Source organism: Homo sapiens, chromosome 7, assembly GCF_000001405.40.
Source record: "Homo sapiens chromosome 7, GRCh38.p14 Primary Assembly".
Classification (NCBI taxonomy): Eukaryota; Metazoa; Chordata; class Mammalia; order Primates; family Hominidae; genus Homo; species Homo sapiens.
The window spans coordinates 66,125,889-66,143,368 of NC_000007.14; the positions used below are offsets into that span (position 1 = coordinate 66,125,889).

Sequence of the window (17,480 nt, forward strand, 5' to 3'; positions counted from 1 at the left end):
GGAGTTATAACTCAATTTCAAGCAAAGATAGGAGGAAGCCAGTGGGCAGATTTCCTGATTAAGCAGGCAAAGATGACATGTGGTTTGATTTGTCATTTTCAATTTTAAATGAACTCTGTCACATGCACTAATTATGCATTGTCCTTCCTGTGTTAGATTCCTTTCAAATATGATACTCTTTGTGACTTCAGTGTGTTTGTGGTCATTTGGGCAAAGCAGCACTTTTGTGAAATCGTAGCTTGAATCACTGGTAGCATTTGGTAAGCTTCACAGAGCTGATTTGATTATAGTGCTGACATCACTGTGCTGATGACCTAAGGCCGAGGTCTATCTCTTTGTGAACCACTGTTAGTTTTGCTTTATTTATTGACTCGGAAGTCACCTATCTGGCCCATGCTTTTGAAGTCTTGGGTCATCATTTGGATCATCTCGCCACACTCCTGGTTTAAGAACATACAGAGGTCTCTGTTGCACATTACAAATCAAGTGCAGACCCCTCTACCTGATTTTTAAGGATTCTGCATGACCAGTTTCCATTCATCCAGTTCAGTCTCATTTCCCACAGTTCCATAGTTACCTTCCACTTTATTTAGACTTCTTACTGTGTGACCTTGAGCAAGTTACTTAATTTCTGAGTCTTGTGCTTTATCTCTGCAGAGTAGGAATCATACGAATAGCTCCTACATCACAGGGTTTTCAGTGAGAATTAACTGGGATAATATCTTTTACAAATAATAGCCTTCCATTATGGAGATGTTAATACAAGTACCAAGAACTATTCTAAACTTTTAAAATTTGTTGTCTCATTTTATCATAACAGTTTGATGAGGTAGGAGTTGCTGGTGGTAGTGGTAGTTGCCCAGATAGTAGTAGTGATAATGTTGGTGCTTATTGAGCACTTACTATGTTCCAAGTACTTTACATGTTTCCAGTGAACCCTGTGAACAGTCTTACAAGGTTGATACTATAGTTGCCGTTTCATAGATAGGAAATGTAAGCATAATGAGATTAAGTAACTTGCCTAGATTCACATGGCCAAAGAATTCAGGAGCTGGATTTAGAATCCAGGCCATACTTTTAGATACTAGTTTCATCCCATTTTTATTTTAGAAGGAAAACTTAAGGAGTAATTAACTTAACTAAAATTCTCACAGCACATAAGTGGCAGAGCTAGAACATGAACCCAAATCTGATTTCAAAACTATGTTCTTTGTCATACTCCACTGCCTCCAGACTGCTGAAAACAATGCTTTCTGATATGCTATTGTAGAGTGGATCGATTGTGATTTAATATATGTCACATCGTTGTGTTTCTTCACTCAGGAAAGATGGCATATTGCCTGGATTAACTGTTACACAGGGAACCAGGCTTTTGGCCACTGCTTGCCACCCTGACTGTACCTGTTGAGTTGACGTAGGTGGTGAACACCCTGGGAGCATGGCAGATATTTGGCAGGATACTTGCCCATGGCTGGAATTCCCAGTGGTGACATTGGTGTTAAGTGGGCCATTTCTGTTGATTCAGCAGGAGGACGTGGCAGCCCAAGATGTCAATAGCTGATGGGAGGCAGATAGTAATGGGGAGAGGACATGGCTGTGGGATGGGACAGCACTTTGTTCCCAAGTCTACTCTGAAATTGCCCACAGCTAGCTAAACCATGTTGGACTTAGGACATTTCTCAGTTTCAATTTTAGGTTGTAGTCCCTAAATTCAAAAAGTGGACTACTGTATCTTGACAGGAATTCTTTTACAGAATTTGATACCCAGAAAGGGGTGTGAGCCCAGACTGATGATAGCTTACTTTTCTTTTTCAGGAAGGATGCCAATTCTGCGCTTCTCAGTAACTACGAGGTAAATTGGATTGTTACATTTTCCTCTCTGATAGTTTGCCCTTCGCTCCTGAGATTGTTAAATTGATTTTGGTTAGAAATGACTGAATTCAGGCTGGGTGCAGTGGTTCACGCCTGTAATCCCAGCACTTTGGGAGGCTGAGGCTGGATCACTTGAGGTCAGGAGTTCAAAACTAGCCTGGCCAACATGGTGAAACCCAGTCTCTACTAAAAAATACAAAAATTAGCTGGGTGTGGTGGCACATGCCTGTAGTCCCAGCTACTTCGGATCCCAGCTGAGGCAGGAGGGTCACTTGAACCCAGGAGGCGGAGGTTGCAGTGAACTAAGATGTGCCACTGCACTCCAGCCTGGGCAATAGACCAAGGCTCTGTCTCAAAAAAAAAAAAAAGAAAGAAAGAAAGAAAAAGAAAAAAGAAATGACTGAATTTATTTGGATTTTCCACTTTAAAATAAGACATGGCAACATCTGGTGGACCTTGGAATAGTGTAAGCTTGACACGTTATACATAGTACTTCAGGAAAGCTGGGAAGACTCTATTTTAGAGGGGGCAACCTTCTCTAAATCTCAACGATTCCAAATCATCATTTGGGATGTAGTCATAGGATAGAAGCATCTATTTTAAGGCTGTTTCTGTCTGCAGAATTTCCCATTAAAATTTTTATGATTTTTCCTAATTATCACCTTTGATATATTTATATATTTATAATGCTTTTATACATTGCAAATAGTCTTATGGGTATTAACATCCTTATTTTGAAAGTGAGTTTAAGCCGAGCACAGTGGCTCATGCCCATAATCCCAGCACTTTGGAAGGCCAAGGCCAGCGGATCACGAGGTCAGGAGATTGAGACCATCCTGGCCAACATGGTGAAACCCCATCCCTACTTAAAAAATAAAAAAAGAGAGTGAGTTTAGTTGACTCACCTTTCTGAATAGTAGAAATTAAGAAATGTAGAATTTTTTGGGCTTAGGGTGGGATTGCTGGAGAAAGGAAAAGAAGGAAAAAGGTTGGTAAGAGAGGAGATATTCCAGCATTTTTGCCTCCTATTTGGCACTAGCAAAACCATCTGATAGGCTCACTCCAGGTGTAGAAAGAACCATTTATACCTTGACTGTGAATTTTCCATGTGCTAGAGTCTAAACTCAGAAAGACTCAGGAGGTCTAGAAGGTAGTAGGTTAAGTGCAGTGTCTCACGCCTGTAATCTCAGCACTTGGGAAGGCCAAGGAGAGAAGATTGCTTGAGGCTATGAGTTAGAGCTCAGCCTGGGAAACCTAGCAAGACCCCCAGCTCTTAAAAAAATAAATTAGCGGCCGGGCGCGGTGTCTCACGCCTGTAATCCCAGTACTTTGGGAGGCCGAGGCGGGCGGATCACGAGGTCAGGAGATCAAGAACATCCTGGCTAACACGGTGAAACCCCGTCTCTACTAAAAATACAAAAAATTAGCCGGGCAAGGTGGCGGGCGCCTGTAATCCCAGCTGCTCGGGAGGCTCAGGCAGGAGAATGGCGTGAACCCGGGGGGTGGAGCCTGCAGTGAGCCAAGATTGTGCCACTGCACTCCAGCCTGGGCGACAGCGAGACTCCGTCTCAAAAAAAATAAAAATAAATAAATTAGCTGGACATGGTAGCAAACACCTACTATGGTCCTAGCTACTTGGAAGGCAGAGGGGAGGTTCGCTTGAGCCCAGGAGTTTGAGGTTACAGTGATGACCACTGTACTCCAGTCTGGGAGACAGCTTTTGAGACCGTGTCCCCAAAAAAAAGCTCCCAGAGTGTAAGACAGCAAAAAGAAAGAAAGAAACCTACCCCCTTGTGGTGCTCCCCTCCCCCGCCCCACAAAAAAGAAGGTAGTAGAATAAACAGAGTTGGCCATATTCTTTCCTCTCTAAAGGCTCAGTCTTAAGTGGTTGCAGCTTAGAACAGGAAGGAAATGGTTGAATGGTTTTTGGCCAAGCCTTTGGCTTTTAGGAGCCTCCTTGTCCAGTTTGGACTTTGCTAGGTGTTTGGGTGTTTTATCCATTGGGGAAACATTGCATTCATTGATCTCATGCCACTATTTCTGAAAGGACCAGCAGATGAGAGGGGTCGTATTGTATCTGGTGATGGTGTGTGAGCCTGCATTTTCTTCACTTCTGTGGTAGAATCTCTAAAACAGGAATGAGACTAAGATTCCCCCCTGCCCCCAGCACTAATACATGTATGTTTTATCCTTGTGGGAAAGTTTGCTTCTAAAGATCCATAGCATTTTTTCCTTTCTTTTTTGGGGGGTAAACTCTGTCTTATCACTTGCCTCAAAATTTTTCTTTTCCAGAAAGAAATTATTATATTAGATTTTTATACTAGAGAAGCAGGATTCTTTTTTTTTTTTTTTTTTTTTTTTTTCAGATGGAGTCTCGCTCTGTCACCCAGGCTGGAGTACAGTGGCACCATCCAGGCTCACTGCAACCTCTGCCTCCCGGATTCAAGTGATTCTCCTGCCTCAGCCTCCCGAGTAGCTGGGACTACAGGTGCCGCCACCATGTCCAGCTAATTTTTTGTATTTTTAGTAGAGATGGGGTTTCACCGTGTTAGCCAGGATGGTCTTGATCTCCTGACCTCATGAACCGCCCACCTCACCCTCCCTAAGTGCTGGGATTACAGGCGTGAGCCATCATGCCTGGACCCAGAATTCTTTTTTAACAAAATATTTGCTTTAAGAAAATCTGCTTTCAAATAGTATATTTTTGAGATCAGATTAGTGATGTACATATTGATAGGAAATATTTGAAATATTTTAAGTAAATTAATGAATTTGAATTATTTGGCTTATATAAAAGAACATTTTTTAAAAATGTAATATGCCTCTGGGACTCATATTTGCTCAAATCCAAGAGTTGGAAGCTGGGTGATGGGCGGGTGAAAGGAAGTACTATACTTTCCTGTTTATCCTTCAAAACCACTGACCTTGGATAGATATATTTCTCAAATTTATTCATAAACGTCTTTTTTGTATCTCCTCCTAGGTATTTCAGTTACTAACTGATCTGAAAGAGCAGCGTAAAGAAAGTGGAAAGAATAAACACAGCTCTGGGCAACAGAACTTGAACACTATCACCTATGAAGTAAGGCTGGGCTTCTGCCAGGCCTACCTAAAGTACCATTGAGGGAGGGGGGTTTATTCTCCCAATGACTGGCAGCTGAAATTAAGATTGCTTTTTATATGATCTGAATGTTTTATTCTAACCTGATTTTTGTTTGTTTGTTTGTTTTTTGACACAGAGTCTCGCTCTGTCGCCCAGGCTGGAATGCAGTGGTGTGATCTTCGCTCACTGCAAGCTCCACCTCCCAGGTTCATGCCATTCTTCTGCCTCAGCCTCCCGAGTAGCTGGGACTGCAGGCGCCCTCCACCACGGCCAGCTGATTTTTTGTATTTTTAGTAGAGACAGGGTTTCACCATGTTAGCCAGGATGGTCTCGATCTCCTGACCTCGTGATCCGTCCGCCTAGACTTCCCAAAGTGCTGGGATTACAGGCATGAGCCACCGCGCCCAGCCTACTCTAACCTAATTTTTATTCTGTTTATAGAAGTGAGAGGAGTTTGGTCAAGTTTAGAGTTTAGCCAGCTACAAAGTTAGAAGGAATAGTGTAAAAGATTGCCCTCATTTCTCCTTGAAAGGGGATCACAGCTCACTGCAGCCTCAACCTCCTAGGCTCAGGTGATGCTCCCAGCTTAGCTTCCCAAGTAGCTGGGACTATGGGCATCCACTGCCACGCCTGGCTATTTTTTGTTGTTGTTGTCCAGGCTGGTCTCCAACTCCTGGGCTTAAGGGATCTTCCCACTGCAGCGTCCCAAAGTGCTGGGAACTTACACGCTTAAGGCTATTATTTTTCAAGTTTGAGATTCCTTCCAAAATATGTAATTATAATTCCTCCGAAATTTTATCTATATTCTTCCTCAAAAGCCACAAAATCTGTGTAATCATGAGAAAGCATCACATCATTGCAAATCAAAGAAAAAAAAGAAAAATCTTTTTATTTTGAAATCATTTTTCTTTTTTTTTTTTTGAGACGGATTCTCGCTCCTGTTGCCTAGGCTGGAGTGCCATGGCGCAACCTCGGCTCACCTCTGGCTCCCGGGTTCAAGCGATTCTCCTGCCTCAGCCTCCCGAGTAGCTGGGATTACAGGCATGCACCACCTTGCCCGGCTAATTTTGTATTTTTAGTAGAGACAGGGTTTCTCCATGTTGGTCAGGCGGGTATCAAACTCCCGACCTCATGTGATCCGCCCACCTCTGGCTCCCAAAGTGCTGGGATTACAGGCGTGAGCCACCGTGCCCAGCCATTTTTCTCTTACATAAAAGTTGTAGAGACAGTGCTGGGAGTTCTCATGTACCCTTCCCATAGTTTTCTCTGATGTTAATATCTTACATAACCATGGTACAGTGATCAAAACCAAGAAATTAACATTGGTACATACTATTAAGCTAAACTTAAATTTTATTTGAATGCCCTGTTTTCCCATTGCTGTCTTCTGGGTTCCAGGATTCAGTTCAGGATACCATTTTGTATTTAGTTAACATGTCCCCATAATGTCATTCAATCTATATCCTTACTCTTCCTTTGTCTTCCATGACCTTGACACTTCCAAAGTCTCGTCAAGTATTTTGTAGAATGTCTGTTGATTTGTGATTGCCTGATGTTTTATTATGATTACACAAAACCTATGGCTTTTGAGGAAGAGTACCACAGAGGTAATCTCCCCTTCTCGTGTCCTGATTTCTGGGGGTACATGATATTGATGTTTCTTATGGGTGATGTTGTTAACTTTGGTCATTTCGTTAAGATGGTATCTGCCTGGTTTCTCCACTGTAAATCTACTGTTTCTTCATTTCCACATTATGTTAGAAAGGATTTGGCTGGGCGTGGTGGCTCACACTTGTAATCCCAGCACTTTGGGAGGCCGAGGCAGGCGGATCACAAGGTCAGGAGATCGAGACCACGGTGAAACCCCATCTCTACTAAAAAGAAAAAATACAAAAAATTAGCCGGGCGTAGTGGCGGGCGCCTGTAGTCCCAGCTACTCAGAGAGGCTGAGGCAGGAGAATGGCGTGAACCTGGGAGGTGGAGCTTGCAGTGAGCCGAGATTGCGCCACTGCACTCCAGCCTGGGCGACAGAGCAAGACTCTGTCTCAAATAAATAAATAAATAAATAAATAAGATGAAAGGACTTACCAAGTTTAGCCCATATTCAAGGGGAAGCGGGGCGGGGGGATTAAGCTTCACCTCTTGAAGGGAGGGATATCGAAGAATTTGTGGTTGTATGTTAAAACCACCACAGTAATTAAAAAATATTTTGTGGGAGATGCTTTGCGGCTAGGAAAACAGCCTACCCTTTGCTTAAGCTTTTAACCATCAATTTTAGCATTTATTGGTGGGTCTTTCCTGCAGTAGTTATGACTATGGTACAATTGCCTAAGAGTGATTTAAAAATTTTTCTCATTCTTGGCCGGGTGCGGTGTCTCATGCCTATAATCCCAGCACTTTCGGAGGCCGAGGCGGGTGGATCACGAGGTCAGGAGATCGAGACCATCCTGGCTAACACGGTGAAACCTCGTCTCTACTAAAAATACAAAAAGAAATTAGCCGGGCGTGGTGGCAGGCGCCTGTAGTCCCAGCTACTTGGGAGGCTGAAGCAGGAGAATGGTGTGAACCCAGGAGGCGGAGCTTGCAGTGAGCCGAGATCGTGCCGCTGCACTCCAGCCTGCAGTGAGCCGAGATCGTGCCGCTGCACTCCAGCCTGGGTGACAGTGAGACTCCGTCTCAAAAAAAAAAAAAAAAAGAAAAAGTTGTCTCTTCTTACCCGTTTATCTATTCAGTCGTATATATCCATGTAGACTCATGGCAATTTATTTTATTCTTTGGGTTCCCCCTCTTTAAAAAAATTGTTCAAAATATAACACAATTGTCAGATTGAGGGTTTTTTTTTTTTGAGATCAGAAAAGTTTTCTCCTAAAATTTCATTAGTTATTCTTCCTCTTCTAGCTACTGGTTTTCTCTTTCAGAAATTCCAATTACACGAAGATTGGTTCTCCTGAATGCCTTTTTGTTTTATACAGGATTTTTTTTCTTTTTTGTTTTCTTTTTTTTTTTTTTTTTTGAGACAGAGTCTCACTCTGTCACCCAGGCTGGAGTGCCATGGTGTGATCTCGGCTCACTGCAACCTCTGCCTCCCAGGTTCAAGTGTTTCTCCTGCCTCAGCCTCCCTAGTAGCTGGGATTACAGGCGTGCACCTCCACACCCAGCTAATTTTTTGTATTTTTGGTAGAGATGGGGTTTCACCATGGTGGCCAGGCTGGTCTCGAACTCCTGACCTCAGGTGATTTGGCCACCTCGGCCTCCCAAAGTGCTGGGATTACAGGTGTGAGCCACCGTGCCCAGCCTCTACAGGATTTTTACAAACAAAATTTTAGAATTTTAATTACAGTCATTGCCTTTGTTTTTTCTCATTCAGGGTTCTTTGTCTTATGCTTGGCTTTTTTCTTTTTTTTTTTTTTTGCCAGACGTTAAAATACATATCAAAAACACCATGCAGGCACCAGAGTCCTGAAATTGTCAGAGAATTTCTCACAGCATTGAAAAGCCACAAGTTGACCAAGTAAGTAAATCTCTTAAGTAGGAAGAGCGTGACACATGGTGAAATGATAGTTGCTACATTCGTAGCAACCGTGTATTGATATTCGGCTGGGTTTGGATTTAAAGAAGGATTATAGTATTGGAGATGAAACAACTGAAAGTTAGACATAGGGACTAGAGTAAGGAACAAATCTTTTTTTTTTTTTTTTTATAAATGAAGAAAGTTCATTTATCCTAGTGATACTGTATTACTCTGCCTGCTTATTCTGCAAAATTAGCAGAGATTAATTTACATTCTCAAAAAAGACGGGTGAGGGGAAATGGAAATGCTTCATGGAAAAGAAGGCAAATTTAGGTCATAGGTAGAGATCTCAATCAAATGGGCCAAAATACAGTTTATTTATATCTGCTAACTCCCAACTGCTAGCATCTGACCACAGCATAACAAGCTTGGAATCGGGGAACCTGGGCTGTAGTCCAGTTTCTGCCCCTTATAGCACCATGACCTTGGAAAAGGTATTTGACCTCTCTGAGTTTCATTATCCTTACCACTGAATAAGGATCATCTGCTAAACTCACAAGGCTGGGGAAAGGGTGAAGGGTGGTGTCTTCATGGAAACAATATGTGTAGATGTCCTTTTTGGACTCCAGAAGCCATAAATGATGCAACCTTATTTATTAACCATTAATGTGAACAGGGCCAACCATTTCTATGTTATTAACACTGCTTCTTCCCTAATGATTCAATTCAGATAAACCTTACAAAGCACTTCACACCAAGAGCTGAGTATCAGGGCCACTTGGTTCTTACAGACGCAGTGCCTCCAAGCCAAAATTGGTAGAACCAATAGTTCTACTCTTAAAGCAGGACCTCTCTAGCCTCCCATTATCTAGATGAAAATGAGCTTACTAATTTAGAAACACAAGTGAGTATATTCTAGGCTAACCAAAGTAATTCTTCTCTAATTATTGAGAACATTAAATGTCACGAGCTGATCTCAAAATATTAGTAAAATAAGTTAAATTGTTTTGAAAGGAAGGAAATGTGATAATGTAGAAATGGGGAAAAAACAAGACAGAATTGAAATATTATATTAATCAAGTACTAACCCTGGTTTGAATGGGTAAATGCAGAAGACCTTTCTTCCTTCTTTTTTTATTTATTTATCTTTTTTTTCAAAATTATACTTTAAGTTCTAGGGTACATGTGCACAACGTGCAAGTTTGTTACATATGTATACATGTGCCATGAGGAACAAATCTTAATGGGGTTTAAAAATCTTTTCTTGGCCAGGTGTGGCGGCTCATGCCTGTAATCCCAGCACTTTGGGAGGCTGAGGTGGGTGGATCACCTGAGGTTGGGAGTTCTAACCAGCCTGACCAACATGGAGAAACCCCATCTCTACTAAAAATACAAAATTAGCTGGGCGTGCTGGCACATGCCTGTAATCCCAACTACTAGGGAGGCTGAGGCAGGAGAATCGCTTGAACCTGGGAGACGGAGGTTGCGGTGAGCCAAGATCGCGCCCTTGCGCTCCAGCCTGGACAACAAGAGCAAAACTCTGTCTCAAAAAAAAAAAAAAATCTTTTCTTGGAGTCCCAGTTTGTATGACATATCGCATCAACCCCACTCCCAGAATTCAGACCAAATTGGATGAAAAGTAGGGTTGACAAGTTAAAGTACTTTTTATAAAGTTGATCAGTGAAGTCTTTTGACATTTGTGTTTGCTTGAGGCAAAAGTGGCTTGATCATCTTCTGTGAGTTCTTGTAGTTTCCAGTTCCTTTTCTTGGTCTGGAATGAGTTCAACCTTTTAAAATTGAAAACGTCATACATCAAGAGTTTACATGAGAAGAAAACTAGCCCGTTTTTTTTTTATTGGTTTGTTTTTTTTTGAGATGGAGTTTCACTCTTGTGAGTTCATGCTGGAGTGCAATGGTGCAATCTCGGCTCACCGCAACCTCTGCCTTCGGGTTCAAGTGATTCCTCCTGCCTCAGCCTCCACAGTAGCTGGGATTACAGGCATCTGCCACCACACCTGGCTAGTTTTGTATTTTTAGTAGAGACGTGGTTTCTCCATGTTGATCAGGCTGGTCTCGAACTCCCAACCTCAGGTGATCCATCCACCTCGACCTCTCAAAGTTCTGGGATTACAGGTGTGAGTCACCGTGCCTGGCCAATTTTGTATTTTTAGTAGAGATGGGGTTTCACTCTATTGGCCAGGCTGGTCTTGAACTCCTGACCTCAGGTGATCCTCCTGCTTTGGCTGCCCAAAGTGCTAGCATTTCAGGTGTGAGCCACCGTGCCTGGCCTATGTATACATTTTTGAATTGACTTGTTGATATCTGGAACAAATCCTGCTGAGATTCTGATTGGGATTGCCTTACATCTATAGGTCAGTTTTGGGGGAGAATTGACATCTTGACAATATTAATAATTCAAGATCGGACGGGCACGGTGGCTCACACCTATAATCCCAGCACTTTGGGAGGCTGAGGCAGGTGGATCACGAGGTCAGGAGTTCAAGACCATCCTGGCCAACATGGTGAAACCCCGTCTCTACTAAAAATACAAAAAATTAGCCGGGTGTGGTGACGGGGGCGCCTGTAGTCCCAGCTACTCGGGAGGCTGAGGCAGGAGAATCACTTGAACCTGGGAGATGGAGGTTGCAGTGAGCCGAGATTGCGCCACTGCACTCCAGCCTGGCGACAGAGCGAGACTGTCTCAAAAAAAAATTTAATAATAATAATAATTTAAGATCAGTCAAAGGTTAAAAAAAAACAACCCGCCAATACTGAACCTTCTAGTCCATGAAAACAGTGTAGCATACAGGTTCTGCACAAATTTTTTTAGATTTATACCTATTTCATAATTTTGCGTGCTATTGTAAATGGTGCTCATTTCTAGTTGTTGATTGCTGATATAGAAGTACAGCTGACTTTATATTGATCTTATGCCCTCCAGCCTTGATAAATCCACTTATTAGTTCTAGGAACTTTTTTAGTGTATTCTTTAGGATTTTCTGTGCAGAAAGTCGTGGTATTTGCAAACAGAGTTTTACTTCTTTCTCATCTGTATGGCTTTTCCTTCTTTTTCTTATTTCATTGCCCTGGCTGGGGCCTCCAGGATGATGTTGAGTAGGAGTGGTGAGAGCAGACATCCTCATCTTGTCCCTGATATTAAGGGAAAACAGTCAGTCCTTCACCATTAAGTATGATGCTAGTTTAGGTTTTCCATGAATGTCTTTTACCAGGTTTAGGAAGTTCAGATTGCTGAGATTGGATGTTGAATGTTGTCACTTGCTTTTTCTATATCTATAAAGCTAAAAAGATTTGTAGCCTTTTGGCTGTATCTTTTTGTTTATTTTTGTTTTTAGTAGTTACTGAAGGGATCCCTACTAGGTTACTAGTAGGGTTAATAATATGCATGCCTGACCATTTATAGTCCAGAGTTAATATTTTACCAGTTGGTGTATATAAGTCTCTTTACCTTCTTTTTGTGTTATGGTTGTATTTATAACATATAATCTACATACATTGAAACATATAATCTGCATACTATTAGTAGTGTTTTTACATTGACTTTCTGTATTCTTACATATTTTAAAGAACTTAAGAGAACAAAAATAGTCTTTTTGTCATCATTTCTTTTCCTCTCTATTCCTGAAGTGCCCTGCGTCCTTTTTATCATTTACTTCACCAGGAAGAACTGCCTTTGGCACTTTTCTGAGAACAGGTCTCTTGGCTACAAATTCTCTTATTTTCATTTAGCTGAGAATGTCATTATTTCCTTTCATTCCTGAAGGATAATTTCACTGGGTTGATTGATCTTTTCCTTCAGAACTTTTAAGATGTCATTTCAGTGACTTCTGGCTGTCACAGTTTTTGATTAGAAATCTGTGATCAGGCTGGATGCAGTGGCTCATGCCTATTATCTCAGCACTTTGGGAGGCTGAGGCGGGAAGATCACTTGAGGCCAGGAGTTTGAGACCAGCTTGGGCATCATTGTGAGACTCCATCTCTATATTTTGAAAAATAATTAATTAAAAAAAAATTTTAATCCGCTATCACTCTAACCCTAATGTGTCATTTTCCTCTGGCTGCTGTTAAGATTTTTTTTATCCCCCTCTACTCCTACTGCTTCACTTCACTAGCCTGGGCGCGGTGGCTCACGCCTGTAATCCCAGCACTTTGGGAGGCCGAGGCTGGCAGATCACGAGGTCAGGAGATCGAGACCATCCTGGCTAACACGGTGAAACCTCGTCTCTACTAAAAAAAAAAAAAAAAAAAAAAATCAGCTGGGCATGGTGGCGGGCGCCTGTAGTCCCAGCTACTCGGGAGGCTGAGATAGGAGAATGGCGTGAACCCGGGAGGCAGAGCTTGCAGTGAGCCAAGATGCGCCACTGCACTCCGGCCTGGGGGACAGAGCGAGACTCCGTCTCAAAAAAAAAAAAAAATTTAAATAAATTTCAAAAAAGATTTTCAAGTCTTTGGTCTTCAATAATTTGATAATGATATATTTCAGCTTTTTTTTCCCCAGTTTATTTTTGCTGAGCTTCTTGATTATGTAAATTTATGTTTCTTACTACATTTGTGAAGTTCTCAGCTATTTTTGAAATATTTTTTCTATCCCAATCTCTTTCTCCTCCTTTTCTTCAGCTCCCAGAAACACAACTGGTAAACCTCTGATACTGCTGTACAGGTCTTTGAGGCTCTGTTCCTTTTTAAAAAAATTTGTAGTTCAAATGGAATAATTTCTCTTTTTTTTCCTGTCTCTTTTTTTAGTAGAGATAAGGTTTCACTCTGTTGCCCAAGCTGAAGTGCGGTGGCACCCTCAGGCTCACTGCAGCCTCAGAGTCTAATGGGATAATTTCTGTTGATCTGTCTGTATATGCACAGATTGTTCTGGCATCTTCCGTTATCAAGCCTACCAGTGAATTTTTCATTTCAGGTATTTTTCAATTCTAAAGTTTCCATTTGGTTATTTGTTATAACTTCTATTCTTTCCTGAGAACTTGTATTATTCCATTCATTTCAGGAATGTTTACTTTTTCCCCCAGTTATTATAATAGTTAGAATCTTGATAATTTTAACATGTCATCATGGGCTTGGCATCTGTTGATTATCTTTTCCCTGGAGAATGAGTCGTATTTTCGTGGTCGAGGTAATTGTAGATTGTATCCTGGACATTTGAGTATTATATTGTTTAGACTCTGGGTCCTGTTAAAAGCTTCTGGTTTGTGTTTTAGGAGGCTGTCAATCCAATTAGGTTCAGACTTCAAGTCGGTCTTGCCTTCCGGGGCAAGGATTTCAGTGTCATTTGGTTTTGAAACCCACTCTGGGTCTTTGCATATGGGACTGGACTGGCGGTGGAACTTGCTCCCTTCTCACTTGGGGTCTTTGCTGTGCTGGGTCTGTTCCATGCTTGCTGTTTTGGTGCTGTTCTGCACATAAACAGCTCAGGTGAATCTAGAATTTGTGTTGATTGATACTCAAATTTGGAGGAGTCCCCTTCTCTAGCTCTCCTCTCTGGAACTTCCCTGCTCCTACCCTCTGGCCCACATGATACCCCCTTTTGGGTCCTGTAGCCACAAGTTCCGAGTTTCTCTCAAAGGTTTGCCCACCTGTTGTTACTAGAGCTGTCCTTGGAGCAGAGCAGGGAAAGTAGAAAAGGGAAAAGGGAAAAATGACTCTTGGGCACTCTGGACAGCAAGGGCTCCCTTCCAGGCTACGCCTGTTGCTGGTCCCCACCTGGGGGGCTGCCCTTGAGTTGTGAGCTCCTCCTGGGTCTCCAGCCTTTCTCAGTCTCCTGGCGAGAAAGATTGGATTTCTCCTGGAGTTGGAGCTGCTTGTGGGGCCACCGCAGCTGCACCAGGATTGAGGCCCTGAGAGAAAAGGGGAAAAAGCCCCAAGAAACTCACATCCATCCTCCACCCCAAATGGTTCTCAGGTTTTGTTTCCCTCCCAGACCACCTGCTTTTGTTTGCTTTTCAGAGTCGGGTATTTTTTTTGTTTTTTTGTCTGGAGATTTCTTCTTTTCTTTTCTTTTTTTTTTTTTGAGTTGGAGTCTTGCTCTTGTTACCCAGGCTGGATGGAGTGCAGTGGCACAGTCTCAGCTCACTGCAACTGCCGCCTCCTGGGTTCAAGTGATTCTCCTGTTTCGGCCTCCTGAGTAGCTGGGATTACAGGTGCATGCCATCACCGCTAATTTTTGTATTTTTAGTAGAGACGGGGTTTCTCCATGTTGGCCAGGCTGGTCTCGAACTCCTGACCTCAGGTGATTCGCCGCCTCAGCCTCCCAAAGTGCTGGGATTACAGGCATGAGTCACTGCGCCCGGCTGTGTCGAAATTTTTCACTGTAATCTGTGGAGAGAGAAAGGCTTTCGTGGGCTTCCTCCATCTTCTCCTGTAGCAGAAGTGCTAACAGTTGATTTTTAAGGCCTCTTTTCATCTCTTTGGGCTAATGTATTGCTTCCTAAGCCCAACATCTTTTCTACTGTAAGTATGGACAAATACTGTTCAAAAAACCTACAAATACATAGGCATTGTCTTGCAAGCTGATTCGTGATTGGCCATGATCTATATAAATTTAAAGCAGACTGTAGTATTCAAGGAGGATTGATCTTAGCTCCCTTTTTTCCACTAATGATCCTAAAATCGAAGATTTTTTAAAATCTTTTTAAAAGGCTTTCTAATCCTTTTAACCTCAACCCTTTGATTAATTGCTTGTTTCCATGACTCTGCCAAGAGTTAACGCTTCAGGCAGCGTTGTTGTCCAACAGCCAGAAGAGGGAGCGGCAGGCTTCTTCACTGTGGCTGGGCCTGGCTCCTCTGGGAACTTGCAGCTCTTGTTATATTTGTGAGCATAACACATTCAGTTATACTCTTGTAGTTATTTTTAAATGTACAATTAAATTATTGTTGACTGTAGTCACCCTGTTGGACTATCAAATACTAGATCTTATTCATTCTTTCTATTTTTTCATAGTCATTAACCACGTGCACTTCTCCCACCTCGCCCACCCTGCTGCCCGTCCCCGCCTCTGATCTGCTCTCTGGTCCTTCTCCTCTCTCTGTCTCCAGAAAGCATGGACTTCTTGGTTACAGCCTGTAGTGGTAGCTGAGATTTTGAGGCCTGGGTGAGGACGTCAGTAGGAGGGTCAGAGGATGAAAGTCAGCACCATGAGAGTGCCAGAGCCTCTCTGGAGAAGAGAAAATCCAGAAGGAGATGAAGAAGGGAGAGTCGGATCAGGAAAGAATTGAAAGAGAAGGTGTCATGGAAGCCCCGAGGGCAGGCAGTTTTAAGGAGGGAATGATCAGCAGTGTCAGATGGAGTAGGACCGAGGAGCAGCCGCTGGATTTGTCCGTGTGGAGGCACCAGGCCCTTGAAGCAAGAACACTTTTGGTGATCACTTGGGCAAGAGCTAGGGTGCAGGGAGTTGAGAAGCAAGGGAAGAAGGTAGAGACAATGAAAGTGGCTTGGTTCTGAAGCCAGCAGGGAATGTTTGTGCGCTGACCCCCTTAATTCCACCACCCCAGACTGGAGTGTGGAGTGCATGGGGGCCTGCTGTGACCACAGCAGTGCTCAGCTCCTTGGGTGTAGGACAGGGAACTTGCTTGGTGGTTTGACCTCGAGTTGGAGTTTTTCAGGGAGCGGTTGTGAATGTCTTTGCTGATCTTCTGGTCATCTCGTTACCTATCCTCTGTAGCTTTTAGTCTTTGCGATCCCTCTTCTCCCTCTTCACGTGGAGACCTCTCAGACGGGAACTGAGAAAACTAACCGGAATGAACTCATCTCCCTTCCAGTCCTTTCCGATTGGCTGCTGGTTCCCCTCACCGTGGTCTCAGTGGAACATGAGCCCCTTTGCTGGAGATTTGGGCAGCAGTTTCTGAGGGTCTTTACTTTTCCCTCCTGGAATTTCAGCCTCTCCATGTGTTTGTCTCCCCAGCCGGTGGCCATTCTCCACTCTCCTTCCAGACCCTCCCTCCTTCGGCTGGAGCTGCTTTTTTACTTCTGTGTTATCAAGAGGTTCGTTCCTCCACAATCATTCCTCAGTCCTCAGAGTCCAGTTGTCAGCACAGCTGTCATTCCACTGAACTGCACAGGCCACCAATGACCTCTTGGTTGGCAAATACAGTGACTTCTATATTGACACAGTCAACCTATTTTTCTCGCTCTGTCTCCCAGACTGGAGTGCAGTGGTGTGATCATAGCTCACTGAAGCCTCAGACTCCTGGGCTCAAGCAATCCTGCCTCAGCCTCCTGAGTGGCTAGGACTACAGGTGTATGCCACCATGCTTGGCTAATTGTTTTATTTTTATTTTTTGTAAAGACAGAGTCTCACTTTGTTGCCCAGGCTGTTTTTGAACTCCCAGCCTCAAGTGATCCTCCTACTTTAGCCTCCCAAAGTGTTGGGATTACAGATGTGAGCCACCGTGCCTGGCTTCTCCTGGCCCGTTAAATGGAGGCACTTTATGGTGTTCTGTCCTGGTCTTCACTCACTCCACAGTTGGTCTCTGGACCCATAATATCCACTCCATGGTTTCATGTAACTCCTTGCAAATAAATCTAGTGCTGGTTTTTTTCCTTTAGTTTTAGACCAAACTAGACACACTTTTTGACAGAAGCCTCTTCAGAGTTATAAAGGTACTACAAACTCAAATTTCATGTTAAATAATGTATTTTTTTTCTAAACAACCTAACCTTGACTCTATCTGTTCCCTCACTCCTCCTCCCTGATCCTACCCAATCTAGGCAGTTGTCAAGTCCTGTTGACTTTACCTGAGGGTGACGGGAAGTGTTTCACGTGTTTAGACGCTTACTGGCATGCCTGCTCCTGCTGGCCAACTTCATAACTCACTCTCACTCACCCAGGGGGTGTTACAATGCATTCCTCACTGTCTGCCTCCATTTTCTTGGGTCTTCCCAAATCGCTGCCAGCACCAGCCAGAGCATGCCCCTCTTCCTTGATTGCTCTCCTATATTGACCAAGTCACACCCAGCCTCTTGATAGTCAG

The 17,480-nt window shown here is 43.1% G+C and overlaps 1 protein-coding gene across 5 annotated transcripts in view; it reads left to right on the top strand.

Moving 5' to 3' along the window:
- The window catches only part of CRCP (CGRP receptor component), a 39,751-nt gene that overhangs the window by 11,071 nt on the left and 11,200 nt on the right, over window positions 1-17,480 (top strand). For 2 of the 5 annotated variants that reach the window (NM_001142414.1, NM_001040647.2), the window contains exons 2-3: window positions 1,816-1,852; window positions 8,392-8,486. The exons of 1 other annotated variant lie outside the window; for it this stretch is intronic. In NM_001142414.1, the coding sequence (NP_001135886.1) occupies window positions 1,816-1,852; window positions 8,392-8,486 (132 nt within the window). Of the gene's footprint in view, window positions 1-1,815; window positions 1,853-4,238; window positions 4,361-4,855; window positions 4,955-8,391; window positions 8,487-17,480 lie in introns of all 5 variants that reach the window. 2 more of the 5 variants (NR_024548.2, NM_014478.5) reach the window with 2 other exon arrangements.